At 37.6% G+C, this 25,004-nt stretch overlaps 1 protein-coding gene across 4 annotated transcripts in view, besides 1 other annotated feature; it reads right to left on the minus strand.

Annotated features, from left to right (window-relative positions):
• Nucleotides 1–25,004, minus strand: part of ARHGAP6 (Rho GTPase activating protein 6) — a 528,377-nt gene that overhangs the window by 253,430 nt on the left and 249,943 nt on the right. The window lies entirely within an intron of this gene.
• Nucleotides 16,436–16,730: an enhancer, noted in NCBI's record as "tiled region #12383; K562 Activating DNase matched - State 5:Enh". NCBI's record gives its function as "activates a minimal TATA promoter and a strong SV40 promoter by Sharpr-MPRA in K562 cells {active_cell/tissue: K562}" and the evidence as "EXISTENCE:reporter gene assay evidence [ECO:0000049][PMID:27701403]".

Genomic DNA, 25,004 nt, shown 5'->3' on the forward strand with positions numbered 1-25,004 from the left:
AAAGGATTCTAAATCATGCTGCTATGAAGACACATGCACACGTATGTTTATTGTGGCACTATTCACAATAGCAAAGACTTGGAACCAACCCAAATGTCCAACAATGATAGACTGGATTAAGAAAATGTGGCACATATACACCATGAAATACTATGCAGCCATGAAAAACGATGAGTTCATGTCCTTTGTAGGGACATGGATGAAGCCGGAAACCATCATTGTGAGCAAACTATTGCAAGGACAAAAAACCAAACACCACATGTTCTCACTCATAGGTGGGAATTGAACAATGAGAACACATGGACACAGGAAGGGGAACATCACACACCGGGGCCTGTTGTGGGGTGGGCAGAGGAGGGAGGGATAGCATTAGGATATATACCTAATGTAAATAACTAGTTAATGGGGTCAGCACAGAAACATGGCACATGTATACATATGTAACAAACCTGCACGTTGTGCACATGTACCCTAGAACTTAAAGTATGATTAAAAAAAGAAAAGAAAAGAAAAAAAAAAGCCAGAAAACTTTAAAACATAACTGGTACTCTCAAACAAGCAATTTAAATAATTGATGAATCCCATTTCCACGTGCTTGATAGTCATCAGTGATTGAGGGCCTGTGAGTGAGAACAATCAAGTCAGTGGTCTTCAAGTTTTGCTGTACGTTCTCATCAGTTGGAGATTACAAGCTTTCTTTTTCTTTTTTAAAATGATGCCAAGGCAGGCTTCTTCCCAGACCAAATAAATCAGAAGCTCTAGGAGTGAAGCTTGATCTTTGGCACAGTATTGTACAGCACATCTCAAACTTTAACTTTCATGTAGATTGCCTAGGGATCTTCGTAAAATGCAGATTCTAATTGAGTGGGTCTGGGGTGTGCCTGAGATTCTGCATTTTGCAATGTCAACAGTGGTGTTCTAAGGAACACACTTGGAATAGTGAGGTGTCAAAAGCTTCCTGTTTGATTCTAATGTGCAGCCAGCATTGAGAACTGTCTATGACTAAGCTCCTAGTTGTAAGCTGGGTGCTATGTGGGCACAGAAGTAAAATAGAAAAAGAAGCATTCCTCAAATAAGGAATTGTTCCATCCTAAATCACTGTCATGCAATTCACATATCTTTGGCTTATCTTTTGCAAGAAAAAAGGGTCAAATTTTCTAATGGGAAGAAATTCCATTGTAGACCAAAGGAAGCTCAGTTACTCCTCTGGAAGGACAGCCCATTTGATGTTATCTTATATTAATACAGGTAACTTGCCCCAGCCTTAGCTTTTGCGTTTCCTTTTCTGGAAGGCTCTTTCAGCAGAGTTCTGCATGGCTGTTTCCTGTTCATCATTCCAGCCTCCTCCTATGTACCATTCCCAACCCCACCCCATCACTCTCATTTCCTTATCCTGGGTTTTTCACCAGCTGTTTATCACGAGTTAATTAATCAATAACAATAAATGGCCAGTGAGCTCAAAGAAACCCACAACCATTCCCATGCCCTGCTGAAACATGAATGAAGCCTGAATATTGGTTAGTACTATTGGTCTTGGGAGAGAGAAATCCTAAAAGGAAGAAAAATAATGACCTTATTAAAAAATCACACTGGCTAGCATTTTGGAGGAGGCTTTACATTTATAGCTTAATCTCAAATTGATTGTCTCATTTGATGCCTATGAAAAACTCATAGGGTGGGGATTTTCCCCATTCTCAAGGTAGGAAAACTGAGTTTTTGAGATGCCAAAGAGCACAAAATCACAGAAGGAAGAATCAAAGGCAGGCATCTGAATTCAAAGTCTAAGTTCTTTCAACTTCTCCTAGCTGACTTCTTTATTTTTTCAACACACTCTTAAGAATCAACAACCAAGTCCTAAGACTGTACATACATTTGAACTTGATATTAAGTAAATTTAACCCACCAGTATCTAAAATGGGAAATAAGAGATACAAGGCAAGTCACGTTGGTGTGTTTGTCCCAACCCTACACCCTACTTTCTCCATGTGATTTTTAATGGGGGCCCTTTCTATTTACTGAATTACAAGAAGGATATCCTGAAAAAGACACTATCAAATTCAGGAAATAGTCAGTTAGTTTGTATTACTGAGTATTTATAAAGCAGTATTATTTTCTTATTTAAAGAAAATGGAAGTTTTAATTATTATTTATTCCAAAGATTATAAAAGGTGAATAATAAGTGATTTAAGAGAGTATATGATAATGATTACAAATCTATTCAAGAGCAATTTAAGTTTTTTAGTCTTTAATTTTTCCTATTTAAAAAAGTAATACTTTTTTAAAGAAAACAAACAAAAGCAAAAACCAAAAACAGCAGAAATATACTGTGAAAAGAAGAAATCTCCTATAGTTCCTCCCCCTGAAGAAAGCCATTGTAAGTAATAATGATAATAATAATATAACTAACATTTGTTGAGTGTAGTAAAGGCCACACACTGTGCTATTAATTTGTTAAAATTTTCTATGGATATAACAAAATATATGCATAGACATTATGTTATTAATATAACTTGCATCATATTATATGATGTGTTCTATTCTGTTGTGATACACTAGCAAATGGTAGTACATATCTGTACATAACAGAATCATCACTCATCATTGTAGAAATGTTTACATTTAGTAACATTTGTTGTACTAAGCACTGTGTTCAATGCATTACCTGACTTATTTAATTCTGTCAATGATTCTCTGAGGTAGTGTGTAGTATTATTTCATAATCTAGGAAATCAAGTATTGGAGAGATTTAATAGCTTATTTTAGGACATGGCTTTGAGAGGCAGAGCTAGGATTTCCACTGAGAGCTGTCTCAGCCCAGAGCCTGAATTCTTATCAATGGTATTTTTAACTTGTTTTAATACTGAGAAAAATATTTTTTAAATATTGATGAACATTAACTCAAAAAAGCGTCTTTAGAACTGCTACAATATGTTTGCAATTTAGTAGTAATTCCAGAAAGTGTGCTTGGTAGTAATTGAACTCAAATATTAAGTTCACTTACACCCTCATAAATAGCTTAAAGTTTCTCAGAAGGTAGGGTGAGTAGTTGATCCAGAAGGTGCCAAAATGATAAGCGTTATAAGCCAAAAATGGACTTCCTGTAGAATGCAATGGGGCTACCTTTCCATTCTCAATGAAAATTTCAGCAAAAATAAATGTGCACTCACAGATAAGTAGATAAGCATTATTTGTCCTACACCAACCTCACATATCCTATAAATCTTAGCGTAAAGTTGTGCATTGACCTGCTGCAACATGAATGAGCCTCAAAGACATAATACTGAGTGAAAGAAGTCAATCACAAAAGACCACATGTCATGTTGTATGGTTCCATTCATATGAAATGTCCATAGAAGGCAAAGCTGTTCCAATAGAAAGTAGATTAGTGGGTACCTGGGGCTGGGGGTGGGAACAGGGAATGACTGCAAATGGGGATGAACAATTTCATTGGGATGATGGAAATATTCTAAACAGATTGTGGGAATGTTGCACAACTCTGTAAATTTATTAAGAAACCACTGAATTGCACACTTAAACTGAGTAAATTTTATGATGTAAAATTACTTCAATAAAGTTATTTTAAAAATATATCTCAATAAGAGAACCAGAAATTACTTGCAAGTGAAGGATTAAAATTAATCTTATACATTCAAAATAAGTGAGTAACATTATAATGTATCATTTTCCTTCCTAGGACACCCATTTAGAAAAATCACAATATAATGAATGAAAATAAACATCATTTTTTTGTTACTACTTATTTAGTATTTATAGTGATCTGACCAAGCATCCATCTGTGGTTAATATAGAAACAGCCCACTGATCTACACACCAGACTTCTAAGAAATTCAGCTTTCTAAAATCAGAAGCAAAAAAGGCATCTGAACAACTATCAGGATTGGCTACATAATTTATGGAGCCCTGATCAAAATGAAAATGCAGGACCTCTTGCTCAGATTAATAATTTTAAAATGATGACAGCAGAACATTAGTCATGTTGTCCTTCTGAGCATGGGCCCTGTGCGACCACACAGGTAGGATACTCATAAAGCTGGTGTTGGCAATCAAACTAGTTGTCACAAAAATTCTGGACTAAGGCCATGCATTTTATTCAAGAGGTTTATTCTGTAACAGAAGTCCTCTAACTCTCATTTTATTCTACATGCACATTTATGGACTTGGTTATCTCATTTGATGGACTAAGGGCAATCAAAATCAACACATAAGAACTGAGTGGAAGATTTCAGAAGGAAGAAGCCCTCTTCTGAAGGGAAAAGTGAAGAAACACTAAGAAGCTAACCCAGCAATATGAAGTATAATAATGGGACCAGGAAATAGTAAATTTTTCTATTACACCCTGTTTGCAAAGACAGCAACATCTAATACATTTTAGAAAATATTCATCAAAAAACAAAAAGGAAGGACTCAATGGGGCAGCAGTGTGCTGATAAAACATTTAACAACTGGTTCTCTGGAGGAAAGCTCTGATTTGCGCCATTTGTTAATTTCCATAATATAAATACTCATTGTGGCGGATTCCAGGGTACCAAGGTGAGGACACAGGACATGCAGTTAGGAAGAGATGCACACAACTGGTTCTCCAGCCAACGCAAGCTGGCTCCAGCATACTGCTGAAATGGGGAAAACATTAGGTACTACCGGCAGTGAAAATATAAGACAGGCCCGGGGCACAGGAGGAGAAATAAAATTCAGTTCTGTTCCCTTATAAAACATTTTGTTCCAAGGGTTAGCAAAGAGAGAAGGTGACTGTTGCTATTTGCTAAAATAAGATACTAATTCTAATGGCAAAATCATCTTGGATAATCAAAAATTGACTACATAACTATTTCCCTTGTCACTTTCCTTCCAAAAATAATTATCTCTGAATAATTTCAAGGTTAAAGATTGTAAGCCTAAAGAGCAACCGACTGTAAAAACAACTGAAAACTATGCCAGTGATATGGCTTTTAAAAAAATAGTAATATTTGTTTTTAAAAAAGAGAGCATGGCCAAGTAAAAATATTTTCTCTTTTCTGTTCCAATGGTTTAACCTATGAATCACCCTCTAGGAGTACTATCATACCACAGATAGGCAACTCTTACTCTTTACAGCAAAAGCATAAGTCTTCACTATCAGTTTTAGTTGCTTCCAATAGAAAGGAGAGTATATGTGATATTAAAATGTAAACATTTCAAATCACCATAGGCTACCTTGAGAATCCCTGATTCAAAAGACCTCTCTCACCCTCAGGAACACTTTAAAATTTCTTCAGAGTCAAGCAGTCAACGGCATTCTGGCTCAGGGCATGATACCACAGAAGACACTTCCCTGATGGTCTCTTAGGTGGCAGCCATATTACTCACCCAGCATGCCTGGTGTTTCCTAAATCCCTTTTCAATTGCCCTTCTTACACCCAGAAGCATCAAAGAGAGGTCTGGGGATGACTGCTCCCTCTTACTGTAGCAACTCTCTCCTCCAGAGAGGGCAGGGGTTAAAGTTATCTTTTTTAAATTATCTAATAAAACCGTAGTTGATCAACATATTTTTTCCAAAAGTATTTACGGAGTGCTTATTACATCCAAGCACTGTTCTAGGACTCATAATTTTGATATTTTTGCTAGGTACCAGTCCAATTCTGACAGTACTTAGAAGGCAAGGTAACATACTGTGCACATGCAAGCCTGTTTAAAAACAGTTCTGGAATGAATGCCAAGATGAGAGACGCTGACTTACATTAGGGAAGCCTATACAACTGATTATCCTCATTACCTCTGTTTAACATAAGCTCAGACTTTTTTTTAAAAAAATCTCAGAACCTATATGGACATTATCAGTTTTAATCTAGTGTCTTTTTTGCCTTTATAACTTTCTAGTATGAGCGCATAGAATATCCTACTTAATGAGAGATCCTCTAGGCATGGAGGCCTAGAGATTTGGTAACACTAATTATTTTGGTTAAAACATATACACACACAAACACACACATGTGCACACACACCCTAAATGGGATCCATCTTTGGGAGGCCAAGTAGATGAGTATAGGTTTCCCATTCTTGGGAGTAGATGGTATCATTACTAGCAACTGTTGTGAGATGCCCCTGCCTGTAAGAACTGCGACAAGAAACTCCTTTTGATGGAAGTTGCCCCCAAAGCAGAAAGGTCAGAATCAGGCTGCAAAGCTGTGGACATGTCAGGGTCTTCAGATCTCTCTCCTACAAGGCATCCTTACTATCTGGAGATAGATGGAAATTATTGATCTTTCAACATCCTCTTCACCAAGAAGAAAGAATAATAACCTCCAAGAATATTAGTAGCACTGTACTTCCTGAAAGTCTGAGAAGAATTATTACCCAAGACATGGAAGCACATGGGAAAGGGTAGCCTGCAAGGGGCTAAGCATTTATGTGTGTGTATAACATATGCATATATATGTGTATGTATATCAAAGACAGCATGACTATACATAATATGAAGATGTAATATAATATATATTATCTATAATGTATAATGTATGGTATAGATAATCCATTATATATACCATCAAACAGGTAGGTGACAATGTATATTTTATCTCTCACATTTAATTTCATTGCTCTCCTAAGCTGTATGAAAATATCCTGCAAGCTGAACATGGTGACTCACGCCTGTTTTCCTAGAACTTTGGGAGGCCAAAGTGGGCGGATCACTTGCGCCCAGGATGAGACCAACCCAGGCAACATGGTGAGACCCCATCTCTACAAAAAATACAAACACAAAAAATTAGCCAGGTGTAGTGGCACACACATGTAGTTCTAGGCACTCAGGAGGCTGAGGTGGGAGGATCAACTGAGCCCAGGGAGGTCGAAGCTGCAGTGAGCCAAGGTCACACCACTGCACTCCAGCCTGGGCAACAGAGCAAGACTCTGTCTCAAAACAAAAATGAAAACAAAAACGAAAACAAAAACAAAACCTGCAGCCAAGTTGCCTCTGAAACCTAGAATGATGTCAGACCAACAGATTCCCCACATTGATAGTAACTAATTAAATCACTGCTTTCTTTGAGATAAAGACTAGAACAGGCACTCTTTACTCTGGGGCAGGCCTACTCCACTTTGGAAAAGGTGCCAAATCTCATGGGCTTACACTACCTGGTGACCTTACACAAGTTACTGAAACTCTCAGGTTCCTTATCTGTAAAATGGGGATAATAATTGTATATGTTTCCTAGGGTTGTTATGAAGATTAAAGAAGTATTTGTAAAAATTCTAAACCAGTGCCTGTTAAATAGTAAGGACTGCGTAAGTGCTATAAAAAAAAAAAAAAAAAAAAAGAAACCGTGGGAGTATCTTATTGTTTTCTAATGTTTGCAGAGGGAGTAAGAGTTTTACTCATCTATATATAATATGAGCACATAACTCATTCTCAGTTTGATTTTTCCTTAACACAAACAAGCCTCTTTTCAGAGTTTAAACAAATCACAAAAGAATTTTTAAGTCATTGTTAAAATTGACATGATTTATAAGCTGGAATGAAAGTGCCATTCTTGTCCCTTAAATGCATGAGGTGATCAATACGTTTTTTCCTAGATATAAGAAATTCCTTTAGGTACCTGCTTTGGCATGGCTGGCATAGACATATTTATATTAGGTAATTAAGAACTCAGATGAAAACAATTTGATACTATTGTTAAGCACAATATGTTTTAATTATTATAGTCATAATTATATAATTATACCTTTATATATAGTATAACAATGCATTCTTTTCTACAGTTTGCAGTTTGATTCCTTTTATCCTTGATGTCATTTAGGAATTCTAAATGTCCTAATTTCTCCAAAACACTGAATGAGAGTTGCAGAAAGACAAACATAAAACCAGATTAACTGCAGGTGAAAATGGCATGTGGATAATTTATTTCTGAATCCAGAGGAATTACATTTTTGATGCTTTGTCTCTCCTTAGCCTAGAGTCTCAAGAAGCTTTTATACATACAAGTCAACAGATTAACATTCGTGATGATTCACTGTTTCAAAATAACTTACATGGTACATCCAAAGTTACTGCTAGAAATATTGCTGGCATTGATTTCTTTAAGCACATTTAAACACAAAAGCCCAACAGAAAAATCAGAGCTTCTACATTTGGACTAAAAAGAGGACACACACAGAGATCTGTTCCTCTCTAATAGAATGTATTAAATAGTAGACTTGAGTGGTGTTTGTAAGTATGACATTGTGGGAGGGAAACTATATGAAGCAAAGGCTATACCTTGAATAGGCTGTTATTACTGCACCCATCACCCCAAAACAGGCCAGTGTGATTTTATGTGCCTCCCCCACAAAATAGAGCTTCTTAATTAAAGCCTTAGCACTTACCAGTTCCTGCCACACAATAAGCAATCAAAAAAAAAAAAAAAAAAAAAAACCACTGGCTTAAATAAAGACCAAATAAATGGATCATTGTCCTAAGTAGCTTACAGTCTAATTTGGGAGGTGAGACTAATTTGGGATGTGGGATAATCAATCCTGAGGACAAATAGTGACATCAACAGACTTGTGCAGGGTAAAATGTCAAAGAGGATATGGAGAAATCTGAATCCCTGTATTAAGATTGGTGCAAAAGTAATTGCAGTTTTTGCCATTGCTTTTAATCATCACTGTTACATCACTGGTGGGAATGTAAAATGGAGCAGCCACTTTGGAAAACTGTCTGGCAGCTCTTCAAAAGTTTAAACATAGAGCTACTATGTGACCCAGCAATTCCACTCCTAGCTATATTTCATTTCAAGAGAAACAAAAACACATGTACACACAAAAACTTGCACATAAATGTTCACAGCATTATTCATAATAGCTAAAAAGTGGAAATAACCCAAATGTCCATCAGCTGATGAATGAATAAACAAAATGTGGCGTACCCATACAACGAAAGATTATTCAGCCACAAAATGAAATCCTGATACATGTACAACATAGATGAGCCTTGAAAACATTATGCTAAGTGAAAGGAGACAGTTACAAAAGGCCATATATTATATGATTCTATTTTTATGAAATATCCATAAAAGGCAAATCTATGGGGACAGAAAGTAATTAGTAGTTGCCAGAGGTGTTAAAGGGAAAGGGAGGGGTGGTTGGCTGCTAATGAATGCAGCAATTCTTTATGAGGTGATCAGGATGTTCTAGAACATGTGGTGATAAATGCACAATTCTGTGAATATACTAAAAACTACTAAATTGTACACTTTTAAAAAGGGGAATTTTATGGTATGTGAACTAGACCTCAATTTCTTAAAACATGCAAAAGATGCATCACTGCAGGAGTTCAGTGGAGAAGTATTAATAAAATTTGGAAGACCTTAGAGGCTTCCAGGGGGAGGGGATAATTGAGCTAGGTCTTCAGGGATGCATTGGATTTAGGTTTAAGGAGGGAAGGCATTTCATAGAAGAGAAAGAAGGTGACGAAGTGAAGCTGGTCATTGTTCCAGTCATGAAAAAAAAAAGAACCAACATACCTTGCAATAATATTGTCAATGAACGTGCCCCCCCGCACCCCGTCCCCCCCTGGCTAAAAGCACTGTCGTTTACCTCTGCTTCAGGTGGAATTTACAGTTCAAGGCAGCCAATATGCAAACCACCTAAGCCTCCATTTTCACAGCTGTGGCTTACCAATTTCTCTTTAAAACACCAACTTTTAGATTTCTGTCCCACTCAATTACATTGAAAGAAATCCTAGATATCCTATCTTTCATCCAGAAATATTTCAGCATTATACTCTTAATGTTTGACATTAACCTAGCATGAACTATCACTGTATGATACTCATGCTGTGACTGTGCCGTATTGTATTTGACTTTCCCAATATTTGGGGGTCTGAGTTTCAAGAAGGACATGAATGTCAACTTCTAGTCATGTAAATAGAATTAAAAACTCCTAGTGCTGTTTATCTTGATAAGGTTTCTATAGTTTACTATTAAATATTAGAGTTCAAGCCTCCACTTGGAATCAGATCCATTCAGGAGACTGTATCATGGTGTTGCATAGCAGAATTGCTATTTAAGAATAACATTCTTGTCACATTCATCCACATTCCAAAAATACTCTGCTTGGCCTTGATGGCAGGATCTGAGAAGAAGCTGGTCATGGTGAACACAAAGTTTGGGAGAGATTCTTGCTGAAATATAGCTTTGTGTGACAAAAGAGGAAAAGCACGGGATTCCTGGGATTGGAAGAGCATCCAAAAGCAGCTAATCCAGCCTCCCGCCCAATGAACAAATTCCCTCCGACGATGCTATTAGGTAAGTATCACCTTGAGTTCAAGTAGTCACAGCTTTATGTCCAACCAGCTCATGACTGGACAATTTTTATCTAGACAGTCCTCATAGCATGGCCAAAGTCACAAATGATGAAAGACATAATAAACTCTAGAAAAATACATAATATCAAGACCATGTTTCTTAACCTAGGCACTGTAGACATTTGGGTCTGGATAATTCTTTGCTGTAGGGGCTGTTCTGTGCCCTGTAGGATATTTAGTAGCATCTCTGACCTCTACTTGCTTATACGCCAATAGCACCCTCCCCAAGATGTGGCAAGCAAATACACAAAAATGTCTCCAGACATTGCCAAATGTCCCTTGGTGGGGGAGTAGGGGTGGGGGAGGGCAAAATTGCCCCCAGTTGAGAGCCACAGGGCTAGAGGCATTACATGTTAAGAGCTACAGGAGGGAAGCTGTGACCTAACGGCCATTCATATGTACAGGATATTAGGATACTTACGACCTGAACAAAAATATACCCTTCAGTATCCAACAGTAAGTTATTTGACATTACCAAAACTCAGCAAATGTTTGTTAGCTTAAATAAAACCATATGATTGTATATATTTCCTGTTTTAGAATAAGAATAATTCAGTAAAAAGGCTAGTGCATTATGTTTTCATTGCATACATATATACATATAAATAATTGAAGGAGATCTGATAACATGTTAAATTTTAAAATTCAGTGGTGTTATTATTTAGTCAGACTTTGTCCCATCACTGTCCAATAACTTTATGTACATCATTCTGCTTAATTCTGACTCCATCTCTGAAAGATAGGTCTGCTGACTCAATTATGATATAATACTAAGGCTCACAAATAACTTGCTGGAAGTCATCCAATTAGTAGATACAAGAGTTGGGATTTGAAACCATGCCTGATTCCAAACACAAACCCAAAGTACAACATTGCATTGAGATTTAGGATCTGATTCCCAAGTTCTTGGCCACAAAAGTATGCTGTACGTTTGTCTGTCTCGTTTTAAAGAATTACAAATATGAACAAATGAGAACAATTCAAATATGTGTCAAGTTTTTTTCACCCATTTTGGTTCCACCTTCTTTGAACATTTTCAAAACATAAAAGACTGTGAGTCAGACTTTGAGCCTATGCCTAATTTAAGCAAGACTTTATATACTAGATTAATTAACAAAATAGAAGATTGTTCTGCTCTCTTGATCTCACATTGCAACAACCCAGGCTTTATTGTACAGGGGTCACCTCCCTTCTAGAATGGCTTTATCCACAACTATGCTTGTATAGAGAAGTCTACAAGTCACTAGCTCTCTGTGAGTATCAGCTACAAGACATTGCTCTGGCAACACCAAGGCATGCTTGCAATTTAACAAACTCTGTAAGTGGAAGGAAAAAAGAGCCTTCCACCTAAATGCCAAATCTATATGTTTCACATAGGAGTGATGTTTGAAATATCTATTTCATTTTTGCCTGCCACTCCCCTATTCTCTCAGAGCTCTGTTACATAAAGCATTAGGTGTTCTGGGGAATAATTGAGCATCAGTTGTGGCAGAGCGTAGGAGGATGCCTAGGTTACCTCCATTATCACACACTCTATTTAGGAGGTGGGCAAATCCTATTTATGTAACTCCAGATGAAGATACACCCTAGCAATTTGGGAGGGTGATCACCAAAATAAATAGGTAATTTCACTTGAACACCTTGTACTAAGCACAAATCTGCTTACTGCCTTCATCTTCTTCGAAAGGAACAGGTGTCATTGAAAACAATAGTTTGCGTTGGCTGCTCAGTATGGGAAAGCCAAGGGGTTGAAATTCAAAGCTGAGTAGAATACGGGCAGAGAACAGCAGCTGAATTTTACTACGAAATGTGAAAACACAGCTCTGTATCCTCCCCACCTGTGAAGATAAGACATCCTGACTATTTCAGTGTGAGAAAAGTTCAGCAATCTTGGGGTGCTCAGGGCTGGGTGTAGGTATGGGGGAGAGTTAGAGATAGTTGATGTGAAAACTTCCCCAGTAGGAAACTGAGTCAAATCAGTCATCTTTTGGTTGCTCATTCAGTTCTCTAAAGCCCTGGTGTCAAATACGACAGCCACTAGCCCCAAGTGACCAATGAGTACTGGAAATGTGGCTAGTCAGAATTAAAATGTGCTGTAAGTATGAAATAAATAATAGTGCAAAGACTTGGCATGACAAATGTGTATATCTCGTTAGGAACTTTTCTATTGTTTGCATATTAAAATAATATTTCAGATATATTAGGTTAAATAAAATATATTACTGTTTCTTTTTATTTTTAAACTTATCTAAATGTGGCTATTATAAAATTTAAAATTGCATATGTGGCTTGGATTTCATTTCTATTGGACAACACTAATCAGGCTGAAAGTTACTTTAAGGCATGATTTATGCTGAGCTCAAAGGAAGGCGCTTCCATAGGAAAGTGTTGCTTGACTGAGCTTGGCTCCCTATCTCAAAATGTTAACTTCAAATATACTTCAAAACTGAAATTTCATTCACTGCCTTCTTGGCAAAATCTGTTAGATAAACAAATCTTCTACTCTTTGAGACATGAAAAAGGATGGTTAACAATGTAACTAAACTTTCTTCCTTTGCAGACATACTTAAACCACGTTAAAGCAGAGATAAAACAGGCTCTAACATTGAAATGGGCTCATAATTAGGTGCTAATGTTGAATATCCTGTAATGTTTCAAAAAGACACAGATGCAGAAAGGCCAGGTCTGCACAAGGCAAGAGAGAAAACGTTGCATTTATGAATGCAAATATGTTACAGATATCCAAGTTCACCAGTCTATGCCTTACTGATACTTCTTGCTTTTTGGCATCTCCTCTTTAATTTCCACCACTTAACTGATTCACACCTGGGTCAGAGGCAAAGCCGTCTTCCTCATCTCTCTGATGAGCCTCTCCACTCTTTGCATCTCCCATTGCTAATCTGTCTTGTCCCCCTACCATTGCAAATCATCTCAACTTTTGGCTTAAGAACCTATGAGAGTAGCAGGCAGCCCAGGATCGAGGTCATCCTTGCATCAAAGCCTTAAAATCCGATTCTACATAATCCAGCCAAGCAAGAGATTCCAAAGGCAAGCACGAGAATCATTAATAATGAAGTAGTCTTCCAATCTATTCAAGTCAATCCTCAGTCTTTTTAATGCAACATTTACATTAAAACATAAAAATAATCCCTTTGTTTTGCATTTGTTTAATTCATTTACAAATTATTCCATATAATTAGAACTCAAAGAAAGTATCACTGTCTGCCAACAGGAACCAAATTTTCTTTTCAGTTCATAAGTTTTTTACCCTCCAAAACCTCATCTTAAAAAGTTTTGTGTTTGTGGGTGGTTATAAATGTTTTTCTAATCTAGAGCTCAAAGAAAATGTGGCCAAAGGATACTGCTTTGGGTAACCTCAGGAAGGAAGAATATCTCCAAAAATATTAAAAATAAAAAAGCAGATCATAGCTCTTAAGGCCCAGTATGCTAAATCCTCAGCGAGCCTGGATCATGTAGGAACGAGTAATTCTAGATAAGCACACATCCTGGATAGCTCAGGGTTAACATTCTAACTATCTTATTGTAAGAGCTTCTATTTCTCTAATGGAGACATTTTCATGTCTTTTAAAACCATTGAACAGTTTGTCTTATAAGCATAATTATAGGTGAAAATACAGATTAAATAAAGAGCTGATTGAATCTGTCATGATATTACCACATGAAGCAAATGTCTGCAGGCATCCACACTGACAATCCATTATGACTGTTATATCTTTTCAATATGGCACCCAGCGTCCTGGTAGGCCTAATATAAGGGGCTGCTGGCTGCCCCTCCAGCAAACGTTAGAGCAGTTCCTGACTCTACTTCTTCATTGCTGCTCTCTTTTCCACTGTCAACAGGAAGGGCAAACTGCTGTCCCTCTGTTGATTCTCACTTCTACCACCACATGGCCATGGGTGCCCACCTTGAGGTCCCAGGTGACCCCAGTACTGTTGCCACTGTGATCTCTACCACTCTGCTCCTCTTTGCTTTCTCCATCCTTAGTTCTCAAAATGAGCTTTTCATGCACCTATCACCACTGGGGTGGAATGTCTTTTTCCTTCTATAAGACAAATCCATGACGGAAGACACTGCTGGGTAAAAACACATCTGGATCCCAATTCTACTTTTAAGGAGAATTTCTTTTTTCTTTCTTTTTAAAAAAATTACTAGTCATTCCTGCAGGTTGGTATCCTACAAATCAAGGGTTTACTGTATGATTATTACATATCCATAAGAAAAAAATGACAATTTAAAAAATTTTAATGGCAAGCTCTGGCATATTAATTGGAAATCCTTGGTTCTTAGTCTAAACATTGAATTGTTGTGTAATCAATTTCTAGTCAAATAATCAATTTCTACTTCAGTTTCATTAATAATTATGATTAAGTCAGTAGCAAAAAAGCATGTTATTTCTCCTCGGGAAGATGTAAGACAGCTTAACTTAAGGGACCCTAAATATGGTCTTTGTAATCAGTGGACTTGAGTTTACAACCCAACTTCACCACTTATTTTTGTGACTTTGGAAAAGTTACTTAGCCTCTACAAGCCCCAGTTTCCTCATCTATAAAATGATATAAAGAAACCTATTAGAGAGTTGTAAGGAATTTTTTTTTAGATAGGATCTCACTCTGTTGCTCAGGCTGGAGTGCAGTGGCATGATCATCACTGCAGCCACAGCCTCCCTCGCTCAAGTGATCCTCCCGCCTCAGCTTCCTGAGTAGCTGGGACTGTAAGTGTGCCACCATGCCCAGCTAATATTTTATTTTATTTTTAGAGACAGGGTCTTGCCATATTGCCCAGGCTGGTCTCTAACTCCTGGGCTTAAATGATCCTCCTTTCTCTCCCAAAGTGCTGGGATTACAGGCATGAGCTACCATGCCCAGCCGAGAATTGTAAAGATTATAAAGTACTCGCATAAGTCATCAAGGAAAATGTATGACACAGAGTGGGTACTGGGATGGGGGCGGAGATTTTGCCCATTGCTGATCCCCTGGCAACAGACTAAAGAAGACTATACTGAGCCTCAGCTAGGAAAAGCAATCCTCAAATACTTGACAGCATGTAAGAATGCACTTTTAAAGATAATGATCTTTTTTCCTTTTTAGAGATTCATGGTACTGTTTGGCTTACAGCATTCCGCCTGAGCTTGCTGTAAACTATACACACACACACCCCACACACACACTCACACACAATGTAAACACACACACATATGCCACTGCCACCATGACTATCAGCCAGTTAAACAGATTATGGTACATTCACCCACAAATGTCCATATAAAAAGCATCCTAGTATCCTGTGGTTGGCCATCGTGGTTACTCCCAGCATGTTGGCCCTGATTAATGTGTGTGGGATGTGTGCGTAGGGGGTATTGAAATATACTGTATCCCAGTGTCCAGCGAAAGGCCAGACCGTGTTCACGTAAACAGTCCTGACATATTCTGTTTCAGTTTCCCATGACATAAAATAAACTGTCACCTACAAACTGCAAGTAAACTGAGAAGATTGTTAAGCACATATATAACAAAGAAACATCTAAATAGATAAATGGGGAGTTTTTTTTTTTTTAATAAGTAAATGTGCCTAGACAGACTATTACCTTACAGTGGAATAGACCATGCATGTCTAGCATTGCTTGGCTTTCTTGGTTCATTTTTTATAACTACATTATTGAGATATAATTCACATACTTTACAACTCACACATTTCAGGTGTTTGATTAAATGGTTTTCAGTATATTCACAGAGTTGTGCAACCATCACCACAACCAATTTTAGAATATTTTTATCACCTCAAAAAGAAACCCCATACCCATTATTAGTCTCTCTGCATTTTATCCCACCCCCAGCCCTAGGGAACCACCAATCTATATTCCATCTCCATGGATTTGCCTATTCTGGATATTTCATGTAAGTGGAATCACAAGAGAATATGTGATCTCTTGTGTCCAGCTCAAGAGAGACTTAGCACCATGTTTTCAAGGTTCATCCATGTGGGAGCGTGTGTCAGTACTTCATTCTTTTTCCTATTGAATAATATTCTCTTGTATGGTTGACCATATTTTGTTTATCTGTTAATCAGTTAGGATGGATTCTTGGGTTTTTTCCACTTTTTTGTTGTTATGAATAATGCATGTGCATTCATGTATAAGTTTTTTGTGTACACACATTTCATTTCTCTTGGGTAGATAACTAGGAGTGGAATTGCTGAGTCATATGGTAACTCTATGCTTAACTTTTTGAGGAACTGACAGGCTGTTTTTCAAAGTGGCTGCAGCATTTTACATTCCCACCAGTAGTTTATGAGGGTTCTAATTTCCCTACATCCTCACCAACACTTATTCTTTGTATTTTTTTCATCATTACTATCCTGGTGGGTGTAAAGTGGTATTTCCTTGTGGTTTTGATTTCCATATCCCTGACTGCTAAAGATTTTGAGCATGTTTTCATGTTCTTATTGGCTAACTGTATGTATGTTCCATGTGTTCATTGGCCATTTGGAGTTGAACGGGGAGGAGGTGTGGGATGATATTCAAAGGAATAGTGTAGGAATCAGATACAGGAATGATATCCTATAGTCCAGTATTTTTTTCTTTCTGCTGGCACAATGAATGTTCTAAGGAATTTATGAGTAGCTTTTTAATCTTAAGCCTGGGATTTGTGAGCTAACTATAAATCACTTAACCAAAGCATGATGAAATGCTATTCAACAAAATGCTGAAGGAAGCAGTAAGATTAATAACTAAAGACAACGTATGACTTCAACACTATAACTTAAAAAAAATCAAAACAACAAAAATAGAACTATAAGTCTTCTGTCCATTAGTCAAAGGTGTTATCACTGGCTCCTAGGTCACAGATTGAGACCTCAGCCTGGTTAGTCTGTCAAGCAGAGTTCACTGAAGTAAACGTGTGTAAGGAGGCAGGGAGGGGGAAGCGGAATGGAAGAGTTTATAACAAAAATCGCAACCAGATTCTCAATGCATACAGTGTGGCAAACGTTGTATAAGCCTCACGGGTGAACTACAATATTGGTTATTCTTGCCACAAGTCTGCCAGGATTTCTTAAAAAGTTGTTGCTCTCATTGGTGGTTTGCTTGTCTGTAACAGAGAAGGGCAACAAAGTTCCTTCCATGTACACAGTTTCCTCTTGCTCTGTTTAATAGCCACAAGCAGCTTATAAGCATAAAACTCTATCCAGGTACAACGGAAGCACCCTTAGCCATAGCTATAATAGGCCCAGGGAGAGGAGGTGACCGATGCAGCAGTTACCCAGTCAATAGGGGTCTATGAGGAAGCATGATGGAAGAGTTTTCCCAGTATGGACGCTGCTGCCCAAATTGAGAGTTGTAGAAATTGCCGTTCAGTGGGTGCCGGGAACAGACAGAAGCAGATTTAAAGGCAGTAGGACGACAAAGTAGTCATCCATGAGTTCTTCCTACCAGAGTTTACAAGATATCTGAGGGTGGCAATGCTATGGGTATCCTGGCAATAAAAGACCTCCTATTCTGAGTGTCCAAAAGGCTGTAACACAATTTCATCACATCTCTTTTTTCTAATTGAGGAAATTGATCATCACACACACACACACATACACACACACACACACACGCACACACACACACGCATCCTCCAACCCTCACACTGCTTAACTGTTTCTATAACTTCCCCTTACTCCAATATCCTTACTCTGTGGCCTGTAAGTCCCTGCCATTTTTCTTGACCACCGCACCCATCTCTCCAAAGCTCTGTTCTGCTACTGTTCCCCTTACTCCTTCACTCAGTCTGCTACTTTCTTCACTCATTTGCTTGAACTTGCTATGCCACTTTGCTCCTCAGCATCTTTGCACAAACTATTCCTTCTTTTCTATAGTGTTTTCCGTATGTTAATCCACCTAATAATCATCAGCCTGTAGGTCTTGGCCTAGTCTTCACTTTTAAAGCATAACAGATATAATAACTAGGGCCACCGACACGTAGATCCACAGCCTGCAAGAAATGGGGTGGGGGGTTGTCTCTGGCTTGCACCCCATGATTCACTGGATATCTATGTCAAGTGTTCACTCAGGAGCACAAGCAGGGGCCTGTGGCCACATGTCCTCTGGCCTCTCCAAGTCTTGCTGCCAAGTGCCAGGGCTGGAAAATGGTTGAAGTGGATGACCCCCTGCCACTTCCTCCAAGGTGACACTGTGAAGGTGGAGCAGGACATCCATACTCAGGGGACACAGATTCTCAAGCAAGGAGAGGTGGAGGGAGCCTTTTGTGTACACTTTACTTTGATAATGGATACTGCTGGAATATGGGCAGACTGCAGTGGACTATTTTTAAAGAAAAGGATCTGGTTTTAAATTCATATGTGGTTTTGTGATTTTAAAAGGAGGACTACAAAAAATACTGTTGTGAAGCAAATGATCACCATCTAATGTGCCTCTTGTTTGTTATACAAATAAAAGTTATAACTAAAATAAAACACTTCACACTGGCTAGGATGGCTACTATCAAATAGACAAAGCTGGATGTGGTGGCACATGCCCATACTCCCAGATGCTCAAAAGATTGAGGTTGGAGGATTCCTCAAACCCAGGAGTTCAAGACCAGTCTGGGCAACATAGCAAGATGCTGTCTCTAAACATTACTACTAATAATAATAACAACAACAAGTACTGGTAAGGATGTGGAGAAACTGGAACCCTCAAACACCATTGTGGGAATGTAAAATGATGCAATCACTTTGGAGAACACTCTGGCGGCTCCTCAAATAGTTAAACATAGAGTTCCTATAATGACCAAGCAATTCTACTCCTAGTTATATACCCACGAGAAGTGAAAGCATACATCCATACAAAACATATACACAGAAGTCCATAGCAGCATTATTCATAAAAGCAGAAAAACTGAAAACACCACAAATGTCCATCACTTGATGAATGAATAAGCAAAGTATCATGTTTCCATATGATGAAATATTATATGGTGATAAAAAGGAATGAAGTACTAATACATGCTGCAACATGGGTGAACCTCGACAACACACTCAGTGAAAGGAGACAGTCACAAAGGACCACGTATTGTATGATTCCATTTATGGAAAATCTCAAGAACAGGCAAATCTAGAGACAAAAAGCAAATTAATGGTTGTCAGGGGCTCAGAGTAGCATTGGTGGAGGAGATAAAAAGAGAGTGACTGCCAGTGGCATGGAGTTTCTTTTGGGGAAACAAAAATATTCTAAAATTAGCTAGTGGTGATGGTTGTACAACTCCGTGAATGTACTAAAACCCACTGAACTGTACACTTTAAATGGGTGAATTGTATCACATGTGAATTACATCTCAATAGAGAGGGTTTAAACAAATGATGCTATACCTTGAGTTTACAGAGCAAAATGTCCCTACATAACTTTGTGTTTCCATGTTTGACCACTTAGCAGGAAGGCCTCTCAAGTTAATGAACACATTTCCGGCTCTCGCAAGACAGTCTTACTGATTGCTATGAGACTAAAATTCCACATGAACAGAACCATAGTGTCTGGATGACCTTGATGAGCAAGAGAATTATAAATACAAGTTAGAAAATTTTCAAAAAAGAAGGAAGGAAAAGAAGTTAAAGTGGGAATAGGGTGTTACCACTGTGCTAGAAAAAATAAAAAGAGAGAAACAAACAAACAAAAAAATGGGTGAAAAGTTGTTTTTAGTAGAACCTCTTTAAACAAGGGGAATGCTTTCAACAGTCCCAAGCAAATTTCAGTGTCACATGGTTAAGGCCAAAATATCCCAAAATAAGATGAATAAGATAAGATTATGGCCCTGTTGCTATGACTTCATTATGTGGAATATAGATATTGGGCCTGTGTCACTGGCAGACATTATTTATATATATATATATATATATATATATATATATATATATAAAATATACAAATATATATGAAATATATAAACATTTATTTATATGTTTACGTTAGATTTATATATGCATATATAATAAACATAAATATATAAACAAATGAACATATATTTATAGGAAGATAACTTTATTTTGGTATAATTGATACAGCATAAAATTTATGCATTTTATGTGTACAATTCAATGATATTTTAGTAAATGTACCAAATTGTGTAACCATAACTATTAATTCAGTTTTGCAACATTTTTATCAAATTATATAGACAGTCCTGGTGGCTGCTCAGATATGTTTTTGCTTTTGATTTTAGAAAGTCGAGTTTCTTAGAAGTCTGGTGTCTAGTTCAGTGGGATGTTTATGTCTTAACTACAAATGGGTGCTTGGTCAGATCACTGAATCCTGAACAACTAGCAAAAAATAAAAAGGTGTTTCCCCTCATTTATTAGATTTTGAACTTTCTAAGAGGTGGCCTAGAAAGGAAAAAATATATATATACCATTACTAACGTATTTCAAGTTTGATTGTATAATATTGATTTTAATCCTTCATTTGTAAATAAGTACTTTTTGATTCTCTTATTAACTCATACTCTAAAACAACTTCATTGAGATGTAATTTACATTCTATAAACTTCACCTGTAAACTTACTGCGTTGGATAACCATCACCACAATCCAATTTGAGAACATTTTTGTCACTTCAATAACATCCCTGGGGCTCACTGACAGTCACTCTCCTTTCCCAACCACAGCCCCAGGAAACCACTAATCTATTTTCTGTTCCTATGGATTTCTGGAAGGCATTACACTTTCACACACAGATAGAAAAAGATATATCAAAAATATATCTCTCCTTTAAGAAAATCCTATCTCTACCCCAGAATTTCAGTGTTTGTGATGTTTAAAATTTTTAAGTAATAAATAAAAGTTGCCACAAATGCTATGAAAAACAGTCCCCCAAATGAGAAGTTTCTCCACCATAATATACATTTTAAAGTTTATAATAACCAATTAATAGACAGCACTTTAACACCATGTGATATTTTCCTGATTAAAGCCAAAAGCTACTAATTCTACCCTGCTCCATGACTAACCAGCCTCCCACCAAAAACAAAAATCCAAAACACTTTAGAACACATATTGTTCATTTTATTTGCAGACAAAACTCCTGGACTACTGGTCTCCTTCAAATTTGGATCATAAGCTGAATTAAGCAAGGGAAACTTCCCAAAATGACATCCTATTCTGCAGCTTTTTAGAGCTACAGAAACTTTTCTAGACATTAAATTCTCTTTAAAGATAATCCGGAATTATGTTAGACTAGTTTAAAAACCATCACTTTTCATAGCAACATGATTATATTGTGGGCATTTCCAAGTTAATTATAGATCTGTCATTTTAAGGAATAATCATTAATTGAGATCTTTTCATTGAATTAATGAAGGGATATTGTACAGCTGCAACAAAATAACCCTTTTCCCCTTAACCATCAATGGAGAGAATTCGTACCATGGTAATTTGGAAGCTACCACCATCATGTATGCATATATCATAGTTCTCAAGAAAATATTGTTCCCGAATTGTCTTTTCCTACTAAAGAAATAACCCTTGGTCAATGTGACAAATATATGACATTGAGTCATTTCCACATAACTCTCCAGCAGACCACATCTGTGAAGCTAGATAAATCCTGTTTCAATTTGGATTGCCATAAAACACAACACTCTTTTCAGGCCAGTCCATGGACTTCTGATAGCAGCCTTCACAGGCCACAGGTTGCCACTTTCCAAGTCTAGGATGCTGTGGCTCTCACAAGGGTGCTGACCCGGTTTCTATTTTCAACTGGAATTTCCTCCTCTGGGGTCATTTGATTTCCACCCTCAGAGACATTTTCCTGGTTCTCTGTTCTGTGCCCCGACCTACTCGTTGCTTCAAAACCAAAAAGAATTCCAGGTTCATCCTCCTGCACAGTCCAGTGAGACAAAGACTCGTGGACATTATGCTTTCAATCTGGTGGAAGCCATGGTTTTTTGAACCTCAGTGAGACCCTCTTAGAAGACACCAAGGTGACATTTACTCAGGAAGCTGCTGAGCTCTAAGACAAGACCTGCAGGAAATGATAGCGGGAGGCCATGGTGTAGAGCTAAAGCTGTTAAGACGTCTTCATTCAAAGGGTCACAAGAATGTGGAAGAGTCAGCCAAAAGAAACATCACAAAGTGTAAGACAGGGCTACTTCCTTTGGCACAACACTGGCTGCATTGGCAGGACCCAGAGATGGCTCACCCCCAGCTCTTGTGGCTGAGCGCTCAGCAAGCCACACGGAGTTTAAAGAACAGGAGACTGGTGTTTTTAGAGTCAGCTCCTGGAGGCCCTTTATGTTCTTGCCTCTGAGGGAGTTCTGGATACAGTAACATAAAAATCTCAGATACATCCACAAGAAGAACTAGCATTTTAAACCCATGAGTAAATGACACTTTTCTGAGTTTAAGTCTCCCTTTCGCACTGGTAAGAATGGCAATGTTTATGAAAATTATTCTGCCTAGAATAATTGCAAAATAAACCATGAAACATATACTATTTTTAACTTAAAATTTTTAAAGCATTTTCCAGTGATGTAGAGATTGGACAAGGCAAATAGTTTTCAGACACTATACTTGCAGATGCATCTTCTTATTCAAGAGGAAGCCTTAGAGTAAAAATTGGAGACTAACCTTTTAAAAAAATGTTTCCCTTAGCGCTATACACATACCCAGTTCTGCACATATACTGGTGAATCAATGAATGTTCACTGACATTTTGCCCTTATCTGAAATATACCCACCACTCCCCTCCATACCAACAATATGTGTCCCTTTCTTTTGCCTTCATACTGATGTAACGTAGACCTATCTACAGTGTCTGTGGTAATTTGAGACATAGCATTAGACTAGAGATAGGCAAACTTTTTCTGTAAATGGCCAAAGAGTAAACATTTTAGGCTTTGCAAGCCATGCAGTTCATTGCAACCAACCACTGAACTCTGCTATCATAGTGTGAAAGCAGCCAAAGACAATATGTCAATAAATGCACATGGCTGTGTTCTAATAAAACTTTATTTATGAACACTAAAATCTGTATTTCATAAAATGTTCACATGGCATAAGATATTCTTCTTTTGGTATTTTTTTCAACCATCTAAAAATGTAAAACTGATTCTTAGCTCATAGGAGACACAAAAGCAGGCAGTTGTCTGGATTTGGCCTGTGGGTCATAGTTTGTTGACCCCTGATTTAAGAACTGAGCTACCGTAATATGGCAGACAGTCTACTAGATATGATCACGTACAGAGCAAACTGGAAAAAAAAACAGGCCTTGGCAACTGTTCAATCAAGTTGATATAATAGAGGAAGATATGGTGAAGGTGTTCAAACTTCAATGAGACAAGATTCTGTGTGTGTACTTTAAGTGCATTGCTTTTAATGTAGCTTATCCATTTACATGTCAAAATTGATCAAATTAATAATTTAATTGCCAAACGTTGCCTCTGGTGTGTTTGGCCTAAAGGATTAATATATTTTTCTTTCATTCATAAATCACCTCATCCTTAATTTCTTCTAGGTTTTGAAACAGTAGCTAAATTCAGAAATCTTTTAAAAGTGATACTAGTAAAAAGAAGCAGATAAAAAATCTCCAGGGAGATGTTGGTCAAGGATACAAAATTTTAGTTAGGCAGGAGGAGTAAGTTCATATTCCTTGTTCAACATGGTGACTATAGTTAATAACAATGTATTATATACTTCAAAACTGCTAAGACAATAGATTTTAAGTGTTCTCACCACAAAAAATAAGTATGTGAAGTAATGCATATGTTGATTATCTCAATTTAGCCATTCCACAATGCATACATATTTCAAAACATATTGTACATCATAAATATATTTAATTTTTAATTGTCAATTAAAAATAAATTTTAAAAAGTATCCAGGGAGGTGATTCTGAATGGTTTCTTTTTGATAGTTTGAGGAACCAGAGCTGCTACACACAAGGAAACAGGGACGAGTGTCGCAATTCTGTTTAAATGTTAATATCATTCAGTCTATTTCTATATTCCCTTAATGTCTACTCAGTCTTTCTCCAATCACTGTGGATTTATGGGAACTGATATCAGTGAGAGAACCTCAAAACCCTGCTTTTGTCATTTAATTGGGTCATGATGACATAGATATTGACATCCATGACAGAAAGAACTCACTGACGAAACAGAAAAAGAAAATCAGGATAGATTTGTACCTTCTTAAAAGTATTGGCATTCTCAGGATAAACTGATTAAACACTGAGGTAAAGTGAATCAATTCCCCCATCTCTTCATCCCTCGTTGCTTCACATCCTTACCACAGCCCCATCATGGAAGGAGTGCATTTCCCCACACACTGAAGTTAGGCTTTTACATGTGACTTGCTGTGGCCAGTAGCAGGTGGGTGGAGACAATAGTGTGTCAAATTCCTGCCTACGTCTCAAGAGTCTTCAGTTGATCCCACTTGCCATCTTGTGCCTTTGTCATTGCTGAACTTCTTTGGGTAGATGCTGCCAGCCTGGGCCCCAGGATAGATACACATGGGACAGAATTGACAGAAGAGCCTTGACACTTTGGCCTCTGGTCAAACAGCTGAGCTCTGTCTAGCTAAGCCAACCCTAACCGACCCACAGATCCACTAGGATCCGTGATGGTTTTTTTATGCCACTGAATGTCAGAGTAGCTTGTCACACAGCATTAGTGTGGTG

Source organism: Homo sapiens, chromosome X (assembly GCF_000001405.40).
Source record: "Homo sapiens chromosome X, GRCh38.p14 Primary Assembly".
Lineage (NCBI taxonomy): Eukaryota > Metazoa > Chordata > Mammalia > Primates > Hominidae > Homo > Homo sapiens.